This window comes from Homo sapiens, chromosome 8, assembly GCF_000001405.40.
Source record: "Homo sapiens chromosome 8, GRCh38.p14 Primary Assembly".
NCBI lineage: Eukaryota > Metazoa > Chordata > Mammalia > Primates > Hominidae > Homo > Homo sapiens.
This window is the reverse complement of record NC_000008.11, coordinates 15,650,253-15,668,487: the sequence shown is the minus strand read 5'-3', so window position 1 is coordinate 15,668,487 and position 18,235 is coordinate 15,650,253. Positions and strand designations below refer to the sequence as shown.

General features: G+C 34.0%; 1 protein-coding gene across 35 annotated transcripts in view; it reads right to left on the bottom strand.

Moving 5' to 3' along the window:
- The window catches only part of TUSC3 (tumor suppressor candidate 3), a 434,904-nt gene that overhangs the window by 183,604 nt on the left and 233,065 nt on the right, over nt 1-18,235 (bottom strand). For 34 of the 35 annotated variants that reach the window (NR_182196.1, NR_182195.1, NR_182199.1 and 31 more), the window contains 3 exons: nt 17,674-17,791; nt 8,841-8,981; nt 6,192-6,332 (listed from right to left, as the gene is read on the bottom strand). Coding sequence is in view for 30 of the 35 variants with exons in the window: in NM_001413670.1 (NP_001400599.1) it covers nt 6,192-6,332; nt 8,841-8,981; nt 17,674-17,791 (400 nt within the window). In the remaining 5 variants the exon portion in view is untranslated. The remainder of the gene's footprint in view (nt 1-6,191; nt 6,333-8,840; nt 8,982-17,673; nt 17,792-18,235) is intronic. The other variant, NM_001413677.1, reaches the window with a different exon arrangement.

Genomic DNA, 18,235 nt, shown 5'->3' with positions numbered 1-18,235 from the left:
TTATCTTTGTATCTCCACATGGTTCTTCATAGATTTTGATACACGTAGCTTTCAAACTCTTGTTGAATGGTCAACAAATGAATAAACATGAACAAACATAGAAAAGGTAAATGCACTGAAACAAAGAATCACTATTCTAAGACTGATCAATATGTGAATATGTAAGTTAAGATTTCTAGAAAAAAAATGTACTAGTCCCAGCCATGACCTACAATGCTATAAGTAACAGTGAAAAAAAACAACCATGTCTTAAAATGTCCTTAAACCTATTTATTCATGTAACTTTCACTCACTCAACAAATATTTACTAAACACTTTCTACATGCCAGGCACAATTCTAAATGCTGTGGCTACATGTACAAAACAGATACCAATCCTTCCACCTCACTGCAGTGGGAGAACACTTACTTTCAGCATTTATATAGCAGGCAAGCATTCAATAAACACAACTGAACATAACCACATGTTATCTTTCTCACATCTAGAGGTTGCCATAGCCCTGTGGTGAGCTGAGAACACCATTGGCTCAAGGCATCCTCCTTTAACCGTCTATTTTCCTTGTTTTTCAAAACAAACTGCTCAGATCCTATAGTTTTCCAAAGGGTCAAGATGTTCACGCCCACTGTAACTACAGCAACTTTGCTTTTAACTATTCTATACAACGAACTTTCATAAGCGATTTGGTTTGGGGAAAACATTTCACATTGTATTTAAAAAAAGAAAAATAACTATTACATGCTTTCAACACTTTGGGTTCATAATTATTTCATAGATTTCCACTATGCAGTTGATACAGCTTTGAAAACAAAATTTAATTAAGACCACGAGTTAATTTGAAGGTATCTTAATCAGCTGAATATGAAAATAAGCTGCTAGTGAAAGTGAAAATTTTAATGCTAACTATGCAGAAAATATGTAATATTCTATACACATTTTATACAATCCTTTGTATATTCCATGTTTTTAAAATATAAAAATGTTTTCAAGTTATAAGTAATTTAATGACATTACTTAATAAACAGGTGGTATAAATCAGCAGAGTAACAGCAGACATGCATATCAGTGAATTTATACACTGCATTTCTACTATTCACAAGTGAATTATTTATTGTTCATTTTTTAAAACTTGGTTTCAGTGTTATACAGAAATACTATCATTATTTCTTTCATTTATACTCAATCTATATACTGCTTTAGTTACAAAAAAAAGGAAAGGTAAGACGTATCTTTACAGTCATTTCAGCAACAGCAACAACAAAAAGCTTAAGACTAAGTCTTTAATTCCATGGAAAGGAAATTATGCATTGAGGATAACAATTTCAACAAGTATTTATAACCACTATTGAGTTGGATTAAGGAGATGAGCCGTGCATGAAGTGTAGTAGATCCATGTATGGAACTTCACAGTGAGTCTTATTCAATTGTGACTTTATAATAAGATAAGCAAAAACTCAGCCAAGAACATTCAAATGCTAAAATCTATCCATATATGAGTAGTTTTAAAATGTACTTTGAGTTTTTGAGGCCACTGCTTACTCCTACTACAGAAAATTAAGAATTAGATATATTAAGTATATCCTAAAAATATACGAATTCATTTTATTTTCTGTTTTCCTAACTCTTTACACAAATGGCTATACATAGAAATACCTGTTTGCAAAAACCATAACTAACTCCAAATGGCCAAATGACATAGTTGCCTGATGAGCAGAACTGTCTGGGGCCATCCAAAAACAACATTATTTCATTGAAAAAAATATTATCAGAAATTACTTGCTTCTCATTTTTAAAGAGAAAAAAATAAAGATTATATGTATATACTAAAAGTTATATAATTTTATTCAAATAAATGTGGATGAAAAAAGACCCTTTTCTACCCCCATTTGAACTCAAAGCCATCTGTAACTTTGAATGGTCACAAGAAATAAATTTCTACTGATAAATCACAATGTGTACATGCCAAAGTACCTTTCATGAATGTAAATACTGTATAATGACATATACTAATCTCCAATGTTGAAGATTTTCAAAAAATTTAATTAAAATGACATAATTTATTTGGGGCAAAAGAAACATGAAGGTGTATGAATCATCCTACAATACACAGTATTAAAAGGCAGAAAACAGCTTCTATCCTACGGTGATTTACTGTGATAATAAGGTTGGGTTATTACATTATTTTAATGATGCTTTATCTTTCATGCTTTTAAGTGCATATCCTTAGGATATTTTCCTGTATTTGAAATGAATGTTATTGCTTATCCTACTAATATTTTCTGGCTTGAAATGACAGTCACCTATGAGGACCTTTAGGTTGCCATGAAGATCTTCATTATGTGCTACAAAACATACAATTTTAACTCATTTTGGTTCCAAGTCAATATTGTTTTCTCAAGACCATAAACTACGTATCTATGCTACACTTTTTGAAATTATGTACTAGTGTATTTCAATATTTTACTCCATCATTCTACTTTAAATTCATCATAAAGCAAGTAATGTATATGCTTATTGTCCACCATCCTCCGTGTTTAGGGGGTGAGGGAAGACAGAAGGGAGTGAAACCAGAACCAGAACCAATCAATGATACATATTCTATTCCATGAACAATCATCAGTATCTATAAATAGTAGTTAACAAAAATTTTTCCCCCTTAGAAAGCATGAGACCAGGAAGATTTACTTATGAATATCTTTAGCTCTTTTTTAAAACTAAGAACCAGGAAATTCTAACGTATATGTATGTTTTAATATTTACATATATTACTTTGCAATATATTGCAATATACTGCAAATTTAATCTCACTGTTTAAATATATTGCAAAGTAATATATTTGCATATATTACTTCCACATATTAATATTTACATATACTAATTTCCTATGTCAGGAAATTGCAACCTTTCTATCTCCATCCTACACCCTAAAACATATAACTTCCACTCCCTCAGCATACACTTCTCTTACCCTACCTTTAAGTCATATACAATAAAATAACACAGTAAAAAAAAGACAAAAAAAATATGAGCCTTAAAATACAGTCTACCCAGGACTAAGTGTTCACAACACTAAATAATTCTCCTTGGAAGTACTTTTGTATAGGTTCAGTGATAAAAAGACACAACTGCTAATTGTACCTAGACTTGTCCTTTACTAAAAAGTCAGCATGGGGCCAGAGATTCTGTACCAGACATTTCTCTCATTCATTTTCCTCCCTTTGTATACATTTTTTTGTTCTATGGAAGTTGTCTACTCTTACAAGGTTCATTACTGTTTTATTTTAAGAGCTTTCCTTTTACTGTCCAGTCAAAGGCTTTCATCAGAGTTTGTGTAAGTCAGATGACAATATTTTGGCAAATTTAAAAATATACATTTTTTTCCTTACTTCCAAGGAAAAATGAGATATTAGTTATTTTAAACAGACAAATGTTTGAGAATCTGAATGAATAGGTCAGCATTTTGGACAGTCTCTTAACTTTCTAAGGAAATCTCAAAAGTAGGATACGAAAAATTACATATGAACAAATTCAGTTTTTCAATTTATAAGCAACAATCAAGTTTGGTGGTGATGGTAATGGTGGTGGTATCAGGCAGAAATGATAAAGAAGACCCAATTTATATATTTATATATACATATGTGTAACATAAATTATATATACAAATTATTTACATAAAACATATAATGTAAATTATATATTATATATTTAATCTCATTTTTTAAATGATTTAAGGAGTTGCCAAAGGCCATCAAACATAAGTATCTCTGTATTAATGAGAAAAACTGCAAGAGATGCAGAAAAGTATTACAAACGTTGTTGAATTTAACATTATATTATCAGTGTAGTGTTTTCAAACTCACTGTTTGAAAACATGTCTGTTCTCTGCAGCCTTTTATTGACTTCTAAAAGGCTGTGATTGGGGAGCAGGCATACCTGCCAAGGTATCTTAGAATTTATCTTCTGCCATGCCAAGTTAATTCGCTTTCCAAGATTCACAGTAAAAGAGCAAAATAATAATAATAATAATAATAATAATAATAATAATAATAATAAATCTGTATAACATAGCAGAGGTTTTCAAGAAAACTGATCAACTGAAGTATTTAACATCTATACATCATATAAAGTTCTTCTATGAATTTATTTGTAGTCATAAGGGCTCACTGTATCTACTGGGTTGAATCACCAACATATAAGACACATGTCCAGATTTAAAGAAGCCCAGCTTTGTGTAAACAATACAGAACTTGCAATCAGATCAATGAGATCAAATCTCAGTTCAATCACATTCTAGCTTTGTAAGCTTCTACAAGTTGAGATTACTGAATCTTTGTTTCCTTGTTTATAAATGAGGACAATATAAATTCCTTTGCACAGTTATGAAGCATACCCCAAAGAAAAAAGAGATCAGTAAAGAGTAATGCCAACTATTACTAGCTTACAATGCAATAATTCTGGGCTCTTCTTGAGGAATAAGAATAATGTAAGGATGTTAATGTTATTTGAATGTAATTCAGAGATGAGACTACATCAATTTTTGGTAGACTAAAATAGTGACAAGATTTGATATGACATTAACTCTTAAATACCAAAGAAGTTTTGATTTTGCAACAACACAGTGAAAGTACTGCATTTTTACCAGGAAACCTGGGTAGCTTTACTGAATTAAGCAACTTGAAAACTAGCATGGAAAAAAGCCAAAACACTTTTGAACTTAATGACTAAGGTAATTAAGATCATCCATAGTGTCCAATAACTTTAAATACAGTACAATTAATTAATCCATTTTAACTCATTCATCAAAAGTGAGAAAACAATATTAAGAAACTTTCTTTAAAAAAATCTTATCTTCCTTGCTCTTAAAAGGCCAAACATCTAATTTGTATTTTGACTATGTACTAGAAAGCCACAGAGGTTCTGTCTGAATTTCTAAGCTCTAGGTATTACTGCAGAAAATGAAATTGCTTCAAGGTGACTCTTGCCTGGGCTGCTTCTCAGTCTGTCCTATCACTTCCAACTTAGTCATCAAGACCCCTAATTTTTTGGTAAAAATAAAATGGGAAGGATGAAGGGCTACTGCAAGAAAGCAAAAGAAACAAACTGACAATTAGCTGTAAACAATCTGTTATGTTTTACAGATATAATACATTGTATGTAGTTATATCTTTAATATAATAACATTTTTATTATATTACAGACAATACTTATCTATAAGATATACAGATATATAATGTATTTATCTAGATATATGTATATGTATCTAGTCTCAATTTCAACATTCTATTTATAAATATTTCATACATTTTCTGTTAGATTTATTTTTAAGTACCTTATATTTTCCCTTCCTATTGTGAAAGAGATTTTATTTTCAATTATAACTGAATTGTTTTGTGTATAAAATCCTAATGAGTTTCGGCTATTGGCTGTGAGCTGGGAACTGCTGAACTCTACTGTCATCTCTTTCCCCTCCTACCTTGCCATCACTGCTGTAGCCCCACACAACTGTAGTTCTCTGAATATCCCAGGCTTCACTTATGTTGAATACTTGGCCTTAACGACTTTAGAATTTCATTTTCTTCTACAGAATTCAGCTCATGTCACAATCTGGGAAGCTTGTCATGATTCCCTTTACTCTAGGTTAGGTTTCTCTCCTGTGCATTCCTGTAATACTCTGTTACTTACTGCCGTCATAGCACACATAACCTTACACTCCATTTGTTGATTACTCTGTATCCCCACAATGCATTTCTCACAGGCAGAGTGTATTTCTTAACTTTATATCGCCAGTATCTAACATATATCAGTCACATAGAAGATACACAAGAAACAGTTGTCAGAAAAGAAATAGCTGAATGAGAAATTCAGAAATAGCTGAATTTCCAAACCATTTGCAAATTATTCTGAGCTATTAATTCTGATCAAGTCTTACCATATTTCTAGATGTATTCAACATGTATTTATCTAGCACTTGTGCCAAGTACAGAGGGACAGTACATGCAGTGAAAAGTTGAAGGAAGATAGCACAGTTTTGATTGACAGAAAACTCAAACTAAATTATCCAAGTTCTAAAAAGTTACTTCTCATTCAGACTTAAGTTCTATTATAGTTATATCTGGCTCATTTTGTTAATATTATACAACTTATATTATTACACAAAGAACAGGAAATAAAAAAAGCACAATGTATTAACATACCAGAGACACCATGGCCCAACCAGTCTTGTTATAGATGAACTCCAAGTTGTTCCTTCTCAAATAAAGCAAACCTCCAACAAGCGACACTAACAGGGCCAAAGCAATGGTACCAGAGTAGTTGGGTGGTCTGAAAACCCGAATCTGCAAAAATGCAATAGAAATTTCAAAAATGAAAGAAAAATAAAATTTTTCTTTTGATCATATTCTAGTCCTCATAATTTTCAACGCAAAGAACTCAGAAACATGCCACCCAACTTTTCATACGTGACACTAGCACTACTTTCATTCTGCCATAAGATATATGCCTTAAGACATAATGGCTATGTAAAACGACTTTGCACTTCCCTGATGACTAACAATGCTGAGCATCTTTTCATGTGCTTATCAGCTATTTTTATATTTTCCATGAAGAAATGCCCATTCAGATCCTTTGCCCATTTTGAATTGGGTTTTCTCTTTTTAAGTTGTAAGACTCATGTATATATATATATATAGACAAACTAGCTGTAAGTATCTTATAGAAAAATTATTTGCAAATATTTTCCCCCATTCTGTGTGCTACTTTTTTGACGGTATCCTTTAAAACACGAAGACTGTAGTATAGTATAGCTTTTACTACTTACTATATCCACATAGACAGCTTATTAATTACAAAGGAGGACCAAAAATCAGTAATTATACCATGAAAAAATGGGAAACATCTTGATCAGATATTTGAAATTCGTATCACCAGTGAAGGACAGATGGACATTACGTGCCTATAGAGGTGATTAAAACAAAACAGGACCTATGTAATATTATACTCAAGGATGCATGAGCAGAAGTCAATCATGAACAAAGATGAGGCAGATCAAATGAGGATCACTCTATTTAAAAAGTAGCAAAGGACTATATTCTTCAAAGTGTCAATGTTTTTAAAGAGAAAAGACAGGCTACAGAAATATTCCGGATTAAAAGAAGCTTACAAGACATGACAATTAAATGAAATATCTAACTCTAGACCAAATCTTGTACTGAAGGTGGACAATGTAAAGGGTATTAGGTTACTTGACAAAATTGTAATATGGGTAGTGGTAGCTCAAATAAAAGTATTATGTAAATGTAAACCTATGAAGTTGATAACTGCTTTGCTTATTTCTTTCAAAATGCAATTCACCCTAATTTTTTTCAGAAAGAAAAAATTGTGCATATGTGTCTGCATGTGTGGAGAGAGGTAAAGAGACATGGGGGTAGCAGGGAGAATGATAATCACAAAGCAGATGGAATAAAATGTTAACAATAGGTGAACCTAAATAAAGGGTATACATTGGCATTATTTGTACTGTTTTCATTTCTAAAACATTTTAGAAATTGTTTCCACATATAGTTTTATGGGTTTTTTTTTTTTTTTTTAACAAAAGTTTATCGACTAAATGCGTAAAGTCTGCTAGGGAGACAGGTTAGAATAAGTTCTGATTAAAATTTAGTATTTCTTATAAGGAAACAATAGTACCCTTTCAATATTACTCTTAATGTCTTGCACCAACTAAATGATACATTGCATAACAAAATATTTGCCAAAACATTAAAAAATGATAAGAATTAGGAAATAAGTTTAGTCACCAAAATGTCATTAAAACCAATGATATAATTTTACAATGACAGTGGTACCATGTGGGCAATTACCACCTTGACTCAGAACAAATGTGTTTATATCTTATAGTAAAAATTAATGCTTCTGTATTACTGCCTGCACGAACGTACTTTTAAAATAACTGGCTCCAATTGTTTACTGTCAAAAGTAGTTGTGAGAATAGAGAAAAAATGGTCATAAAATCTCCAAGTAAGTATGAACTACCATCACCATTTAGGTTCATTTCCTTCCATAATAAATTGTCTATGTCAATCTATACTCATATTTGTACTTTATAAAAAACTAATAGATCATACTATTAATTAATACTATTTTTCTAACCTACTTTGAAATGTTTTACATCTTGAGCTTCATTCTAGGTAAAATATTCTTGTAAATCATTTTTTGGCTATGCCATAGTATATTTACTTTTTCTTATTTTTAGACATTTGATTTATATTCAATTTTTCCCAATAAAATGAATATTATTTTCAAAATTTCTATGGATAAAAATTTAAATCATCCTTGATTGCATCCTTAGGTTAAATTCCTAGAAGCGGAATTGTTAAGTTAAATTACATACAGACATGACACATGCTATTAGTATGGTTACACCAATTTATAGTCCCAAAAGCAGTAAATCTGAGTAGACATTTTTCCACGTAGCTTTAAGGTGGGTATTAACCTTTTCTGTTTGACCAAAAGATAGATTAAAAATTATATATCTTGCTTTTTAATTAGAATTTCCTTGATTACTACCACTGAAACGTTTTAAACGTTTTTTAGCCTCTGAAATTACCTTGTGCTTAACTCCTGTATTTTTAATGGCTTTTAAAATATCAGTGAACCACTATTTTAAAAAGCATCTGAATTCAGCTAATAGTCCAACTTATCATTTGCAGTAATCGAACAGTTTTCTCTATGCAAGGAGAAACAACCATAGAGAAATTAAAAAGTATTACTGTGGCCTTATTAAAATGCTCCATAAAAACAAACTAACCAGCCTATTATTAAAACTGTGAGGAATAAAAACATACATGAACATCCGTTCTGTCAGCAATCCACTTTGCTAGTTGCTCAGCTGCAAATCCAATTCTTTGGAGGTCAAAAGTATCAGCTCTCTTAGGTCTGCCTTTTGGAGGAAAATGCATGAATGTAGGAGCAGAGTTCATGTTGAGCTGTAAAACATGAGAAAAAAATACTAAATATAGGATCATCTTATCATTAATCCAATATTTTACACTTTTTCTGTAGAAATTCGGGGAAAACAGCATTTATTATGAAAATCCAAGTGGTTTTCCAGAGGTAAATTTCTGTTTTTATTTGTCTTAATTCACTACTGGATGAAAAAGAACATGTAAATCTGACTAAGTTATCTGAATCTTCACATTTAACATACATCATTCAAATTATGCATTATGTTCTGTATATTTTGTAAGTCATTTCGTTCTTTTTCTTTCTTGAATTCTATAATTAGGGTAAAAAAAAGTGACTGAAAGTGCAAAGTAGAAATATAGCAGTTTGGCAGTACATGAATTATTTTACTTCTTAAGCAGTTATTTTTAAAAAGTACTGGAATTTGTTTTTAAAAAATAAGCATATTATGGAATTAATTTCCAACAAGTTATAAGTAGATTGAATTCCCTATTACAAATGTAAAGACTTTACTTTTTTGTAATGATGAAGACTATGAAAGAGAAACCAACATTTCTGCTCTTAACAAGTTAAATTTACCAGAGAATGAAGAAGAAATCCTCAAATAACACTTTTTCTGCTCAACTGCTCTATTAACTCAACTGTGTTAAATTGATTATATTTCAGAAATATTTTCTACAGGTAATTTCCATTTGAAAAGTATACTAAACAGAACACTACCCTCGTATAAACGGTGCTTATTTAACAATATCTAAAAACATATATTAGGTTAATTTGCAGTAAGCAATAAACTACAAATATATATATTTGTATATATGTGTATATATATTGTATGTGTATATATATTGTATGTGTATATATATTGTATTTGTGTGTGTGTGTGTGTGTGTATATATATGTGTATATATACACGAATTAAATTTCTGTTGCCCAGGAATTATAAAAAAAAGTTTTAAAATGAAAGGCCAAGAGATTTTTCAGCCCTTGACTTGCAGTACAGTTCAGTATTTTCTAATAATGAAAACAAAAATCAATATATAAATATACATTAGATCACAGTTGATATCAAGCAAACGATACAACAGTAAAAGCTTAGCTGCCCATAACAACAAAGTTTAATAACCAAGTACAGTCAAGACCAAAACAGGTCTTGCCCTACAAATGAACTCTGACTACAGCAGTCATTATTTACAAGACAGCTCCAAATCATTTTACAGAGCTTCACACAACTTAGCACAAACAAGCTGAATACCCAAAAGAAATGGCTCTATATCAAAAATTTCTCATTTTTAGTACTGCAAATGCAATCAAATTTCCATTATTTACCTCCATGTTATCTACATTAGTGCTCTTCAAACACTACTGCTAAAGATTAAGAGTTGGTCCATGTTTGCTATGGTTTGAATGTTTGTCCCCGCCAAAACTCATGTTGAAAATCTAATTGCCACTGTAGCAATATTAAGACGTGGAAGCTTTAGGAGGTGATTAGGCTATGAGGGCTCCACTCTCATGGGTGGGATGAGTGCTATTATAAAAGTGCAAGTTGAGCCTGCTCTTGATTCTCTCTCACACTGTCCCCTCATGCCATGTGATGATGCAGCAAGAAGTGCCTGGCAAGACGCCGGCAGGTAAATATTTAAATATTGGACTTTCAGCCTCTAGCACTATGGGAAACAAATATCTGTTCATTATACTTATCCAGTCTCAGGTATTCCGTTACAGCAGCCCAAAATGGACTAAGACAAACACTGGTCTCAGAGGCACTGGGTGCTGCTACAACAAATACCTGGAAAGGTGAAATGGTTTTGGAACCAGATAATGGGTAGAGACTGAAAGAATCTGGAAGAGCATACTAGAAAAAGCCTAGATTGCCATAAACGGAGCACTGAGGGTGATTCTAGAGAGGGCTCAGAAGAAGAGGGGAGGTGCAAGGAAAGTCTACAACTTCTTATTTAAGTGGTTATGATCAGAATGCTGGTAAGAAATATGGACAGTAAAAGCCATTCTGATGAGGTCTCAGACGGAAATGAGAAACAGGTATTGAAATCTGGAAAAAAAGACCATCCTTCTTACAAACTGCAAAGAACTTAGCTGAAGTGTGTCTGTGTCCTAGGACTTTATAGAATGCAGAACTTAAAAGCAATCAACGAGGATATCTGGCAGAAGAGATATCTAAGCAGCAAAACATTCTGGATGCAGTATGGCTTACTTTAAATGCATATAATAAAATAGAAGACAAAAAATGATTTAAAGACACAATTTATAATTAAAAGGGAAGCAAAACATAAAGATTTGGAAAACTCTCAGCCTGGCTATGTAAACAATAAAAAACATGTTCAGGAGAGAATATGAAGAATGTGGCCTAAGGACTATTTATAAGGAGATTAGCAGAGATGGAAAGGAAGCCAGGTATTACTCATCAAGAAAATGGGAGAAAGACCCTGAAGGCATTTCAGAGCTCTTTGGGGGAAAACCTGGGGTATCTATGGGACGTCAAAGCTCACTGTTCAGAGCCACTTGGGGTGTCCACTCCCTGCATACTGCTGTAGTGCTCCTCAGCTGCCCTCACCAAGGATCAAGTAGGCTCAAGTGTTGCTCAACCCACTACTCTGGAGGGTGCAAGCCATGAGCCTTGGCAGCATTCTGGGCACTAGCTCTGCACGTGCCCAGAATGTAAGAGCTGAGGAGGTATGTCTTCCTTCACCTAAATTTCAAATGACTTTGTGGAGAGCCCAAGAGTCCTGATAAAGACTTGTTGCAGAGGCAGAGCCATTGTAAAGAATCCCCCTTAGTGGATCTACAGCAGCAGGGCCTCTGCTGAAATCCCAAACTACAGAGCCAACAGCATGCAACACCAGCCTGGGAGAGCTGTTGCGTGGGCTTGGGCCTGGGAGAGCTGTTGCGTGGGCTTGGGCCTGGCAAAGCTATAGAGGTGGGTGGGGCTGCCCAAGGCCTTGAGGGTTCAACCTTTGCCCCAGTGTGCCCAGATGATGGGACGTGGAATGAAAAAAAATAATCTCCAGCTTTCAGATGTAATACTGTTTTCCCAGTCAGTTTTTGGACTTACTTGGAGCCAGTTACCCCTTTTTCTTTTCTTGCCTATTTCTCCCTTTTGGAAGGGAATGTCTATTCAATGCCTGTTCTACCATTTTATTTTAGAAGTAGTTAATTTGTTTGATTTCAGATACACAGCTGGAGGGGAATTTGCCTCAGGATGAATCATGTCCTGAGTCTCATCTATATCTGATTTTGTTAAGACTTTGGACTTTGGAATTTTGAGTTGGTACTAGAATGAGTTCAGACTTTTGGCAGTATTGGGACAAAATGAATGTATTCTGAGTGTGAGAAAGACATGAGTTTGGTAGGGTTAGGGGCAGAATATGATGGTTTGAATGTTTTTTACTCATTGTTTGAATGCAAAATATTCAAACCATCATATTCTGCCTCTGCCCACCCCACAAACTCCTGTTGAATAAATTAGCCAGTCTCAGGTATTCTGTTGTAGCAGAACAAAATGAACTAAGACAATGGTTAAGCAGTTAGCCCTTCCAAAGGGATTCCTAGGTAATCTTTTCATCGTTTCTTTCCTTTCTCTTCATTCCTTTACCACAACTTTTAATTATTTCTACAGAATTTAGATTTAACCAACTTATGCAAAAATAAGGTGGTTTGGGGAAGAAGGAAGGCTACACACCAGTATTACTGCTAATGTTATGTAATAGTAATAAGAACTATTTAGCATATATTTATCCATCAGGAATAGAGCTAAACAGCTACATATATTAGTGTTAGCAGTGGTGAATCCCTGGAGGTCTGCAGCAACTTGATTCTTGGCTCCTCAAAGGAAAGAATTCATCTGAGGGTTATAAAGCAGAGTTAGAGACTGAGGCAAGTTTTAGAGCAGGAGTGACGTTTATTTAAAAGTTTTGGAGCAGGAATAGAAGGAAGTGCACTTGGAGGAAGGCCAGGTGGGCAACTTCGAGACATCAAAGTGCACTGTTCGGACTTTGACTTGGAGTTTCATACACTGGCATGACCCCAGGGTTTGTCTCTTCCCCCTTGATTTTTCCCTTTGGGTGGGCTATGTGCCTGCACAGTGGCTTGCCAGCACTTGGGAGGGGCCGTATGCACAGTGTGTTTACTGAAGTTGTGCACATGCTCATTTGAGGCATTTTTCCCTTACTAGTGGAGTGTTCCGCGAGGAAGGTCATATTACAGTTAAACACCGCCATTTTGTCTCTTGGTGCGCATGCTTGAGCCTACTCACTTAAGTCCTAAGATCTTAGCAGGAAGCTGCTAATCACCATCTTCAGGTGTTTTCTATTTACTGGGAGACTGCCTTTCCTAGCAGCCAGCTGCAACCAATTATTATTTTAGCAAGACAGTTTAACAACCACCTGATCATCACATGATGGTCACCTGACATCCTGGGGTGAGGGACCCTCTCCTGCCCTGCTCATGTCTGCATAGCTACCTACTCTAAAGCTAACATCTTATTTTAATCTTCCCAACAGTTTTATGAGAAAGGTACTATTATTTTCCCTCTCTTACAGATGAGTAGAGGCATATAAAAATAAAGTGATTTACCAAAGGTCACACAGCAATGAAGAAGTAAAGATGGAAGATGAACTCAGGTTTTCTGACTCTAGACACTTCATTACCAGGATATCATAATACCTTCTGAACTCTATCTCCATTTAATGAAAACTATTTTATTTATTATTATTTTTTTTGAGATGGAGTCTTGCTGTGTCACCCAGGCTGGAGGGCAATGGCACGATCTCGGCTCACTGCAACCTCAATATCCTGGGTTCAAGCAATTCTCCTGCCTCAGCCTCCCCAGTAGCTGGGATTACAGACATGTGCCATCACACCTGGCTAATTTTTGTATTTTTAGTAGAGATGGGGGTTTCACCACGTTTGCAGGGCTTTAACAATATTATTTTCATAAACCTTTTTTAATAAGTTCATTAGAAGACTGATTTGTAAACACAAGCTCCTGCAATGCAGTGTAAACATCATACAGATTATAACATACAACATGTATATATAACATATATAAAAAATATATCTCTAATGTATCTAATAAGTGTGATATGGCCCTGTACATCAGGAGTCTATCTTATTCCATTCTCCCAGCAGTGGGCTTCCATGTAATGGACATTTAGCAACGTTCCTTAAACTGAACAAAGCACACAGTTACCAGTTCCTTTCTTCCCTGTGCTTCTCCCATTCCATACTTTGTTCATGTTTGTTTCTCTCATGGATATATGAGAGACGTCTATAGCAACCATGTAAATACAAAATTATAAAGCTGAAAGTCCCCATCTTCCTCACTCCCCACATGAAAACTATAGGAAAATCCATACTAAGACCTAATGTTCTAAAACTTTAGAGGTTCTTAAAAACTCATAGAATTCAGTCTTTTTTCTTAATTAAAATGCCCAATTCCCCAGGGCTACCCACAGCAGAGCACAACATAGACCTGTTTCCTGGATGAGAGCTCCTTCTAACACACCATATTCATTAACCCACTAGCCTATCATCAGATACCTAGCCTCAGCCATTCCTATGGGAATCACATATAATTGAAGTTACTTCCCCAGTGAGTCCCCAACAAGCTAGAAATTACCAAGTTTCTGCACTTGTTATTAATATTATCTTCAGACACCACATTACTGCTAACAGTGCTTTAAAACATCAATTCAGAGACAGTACTTCAGCAAAATATGATTTAATAGTCAGTTAAAAAATAAGCATTAAAAACCTTTTAGTGTTTCTCAAGTGAAGCAAAACATATACTTCTCCACTTCTGTAGATTAAAATTCCTCATAAAACTCATTAACTGCTATAACTTTTACACATTTCTGCATTTTAAAATGAAAACTCTTGTTGCTAAGCCAAGGACTAGATTTTGGGAAAGACAAGGCAGTTCTACACCAGGATTCCTGCTGAATCAAAATTAACCTGAGAAAATGTTTCAATTAAAAACAACTGACTTCAACTCTTATACGCCAAACTTTAGAATAATTATGTCTAAAGCATACAAAAGAATTTAATGATTATATGTAACCATTTATTTATATGATTATATACCAGCAGCCTACATTCAGTACTCAACACAAAGATAATAATATCACAGAAGATTTTAAAAAAAAATATGAATTAACTGCCAACATTTTAAAGAGAGAAATTTCATATAAAAATTTTTATTTAGGTCTTTTCTTGAGAGAGATCTAGCTACATGTGGCCTACATTTCTTCTACAGAGCTGATGCTGAGCTGCGCCTCTCCCACTGAGGTCAAGCAAATCCTCTCTCCAATCTGCTGTAGTCCCCACCCACACCATACTGCTTCCTCAACAATGACACCAAGGATCAGATGCATGGTGTTCTGGCAATTTTGTTTCTTACAGTAGTAAAGAAATAAAAGTATTTTGAAAAAGTGAAAAATGAGTGTTTCTGTTAAGGATTTTTAAAAAGACATACCAAGAAAGGCATTGTTTTAATAAAAATAGGAGAAGGCATATTTGTAAAAGTAAATAAGATGTTTAATACACTAAGTATGTACTTAGTACATCAGGTATCGTAACAAAACAGATAATGTATTATCAACAAAAACAGCATAACAAAGATACAATGAAACTAAACTAACCCAACTCCCTGTCTTCATTTAGTCCACAAGTCTAGTCATGTAAGATATTTGGGCCTCAAGACTGTGCTCTAGCAGTCTTGTTGGATCTAGAAGACTGTTTGCCAATATGATAGAGAGGATTCAAGTATACATTGAATAGCACTTCTATCTGATGATCTCTAAGGCCAATTATCCTGAGATTCTATAGAGATCTATTACTTATATGAAATAATATTTGGTTCTTACAGTACTCTAATTTTCCTTTATTAGGTTATTTGAAATTACATATTTATATGTTTTATTATGATACTATTATTACTATTATCATTAGCTCCCTAATCTGTAAGCTGCTTATAGAGGAGAACTATGTATGTTTTTCTTGCCAAATTTATTGCTCCTATAGAATAGGTACCATAGGAGCAAAACTATTTGCTGAATAGATGAATATAAAGAAATATCCTAAAAAGGCAAAATAAATTTGGAGGAAATAAGTGAAGAACACTAACAGAAAAAGAATGTTGAAGGCAAAAAGAGAGAATTTATTTAACTAGAAACTGGCAAGAAGAAATAATCTGGATGCAAATAAGTAAAAATGTTCACTAATGGTGATATACAATTAGTAGGCTAGATTCTTTACAGAACTGCATGCTTTTCCATGACCTGGTAAGCATTATACCAAAGAGTATCACATGTGAGATAGACCAAGATACCCGAAAAGATCAACCCCGGAACTGCACTAAGTTTTGCATTTTAAATAGATTGATCACATAGTAAAAACATTTTAAAAAATAATAATGAACTGCAGGGTAACAGCATGATTAAGGCTAGGGCTCTGGGAGCCACACAGTTGAGTTCAAATTCTAGTTACACATTACACTAACTTTGTGACCTTGGACAAGCAACAATTTCTGCATTCCTTATTTCCTCACCTATGAAATGGAGCCAGTAACAACATTTCTCTCACTGTGAAGCTAGATGAAATAATACATAAGTTGAACAGTGCCTGGACATAAGCTCTCGATGTCAACAATGATGATGATACAACCATGACAACATCGATGATAATGAGTGTTCCAATCGCAAGTCTAATACCTTGCTCTATAGAGAATACTGGGTAAATAAGCTTATTAGTTTGCTTGAGTTGCTAGAACAGAAAATTCCAGAGTAGGTGACCTAACCAACAGAAATTTATTTTTCACAGTTCTGAAGACTCAAAGTCCAAGAGGAAGGTGCCGGCAGAGTTGGTTTCGGGTGAGGCTCCTCTTCCTGGCCTGTGACCATCTTCTCGCTGTGTTCTAACATGCCCCTTTTCTCTCTGCACATGCACTCCTGCTCCCGATTCCTCGTCTTATATGGACATCAGTCCCTTTGGACTAGGGTTCCACCTTTATGGCCTCATTTAACCTTAATTACTTCCTTCAAGGCCCTATCTTCAAATACAGTCACGCCAGAAGCTATGGCTTCAACTTATGAATTTGGGGAAATACAATTCAGTCCATAAACAGAGAGAAAATACTTGTCAATAAATATTTAATCCTCTATATGTAAAATACTATCTGCCACATTGGAAAAAATAACAGTTAAGTAAAACTTGCAATAAATTTTATATAAAATGTCACAAATCTGTGCAAAATACTATCTATAATACACTACCACCTATAATTAAATGCCAGAATAAGACCAATGCATGTAAACTGCGACTGCATGCTGAAAAAACACATTTCCTCTATGTTGCAAAAGTTAAAATGAATTTATCATAATGGCAAAAACCTGTACAATGATAAAAATAAGTTTAGCCATAATTATGTTAATCACATCACAAAATGTATTATAACTACTTATTGTATTTACTAACCTATTGAATGAATTGTATTTGTGTGTGTGTGTGTGTGTGTGTGTGTGTGTGTGTGTGTAAAAGTCTTGCTCTGTCCTCCACCTGGAATGCAGTGGCACAATCTCGGCTCACTGCAACCTCCGCCTCCCAGGTTCAGACGATGAATGAATTGTATTTTTATGTGACAAACAAAAATGTATCGACCACAAACAACTATGTTAAATATATGAATACGATATAACTCTTTACCTGCTGAAAAACGTCTGTCCCCTCATCATAGTCCACCATACTGAAGAAGAGCTTGTTACAAAAAGCAGATGAATAGCGCCAGGAGTTCGCCAGTATTTGATATTCTTCATTAGCTTGCCTGATAAGAATAATGGGCCATAGTAGAAACACATCAGTACTGAAGCATCTACAAAGCAGTTATTAAAACAGACAACCCTAGGACAAGCACTGGCCAGTTTTTGTACAGACTGTAAGAAAAGCATAGTTTTTAAAATATTTTTTTTTAAAAAAAGGATTCTCTGACATGAAAATTACATAAAATTCAAATTCTGATGTTCATAACTACAGTTTTATTGCGACACAGCCACATTTATTCATTTACATATTGCTTATGTGCTATAAGGGCAAAGTTGTAACAACAAGACAGCAACTACATGTATCACAAAGCCTAGCCCTTTAAATAAAAATTTTGCCAACTCTTACTCTAGGGAATAAAAACATTTTGCAGCATTCCCTATACACATAAATTAAATATTCCAATAATGTTTAGTAAAATGCAAAGACCAATTTTTAAGAATATTTG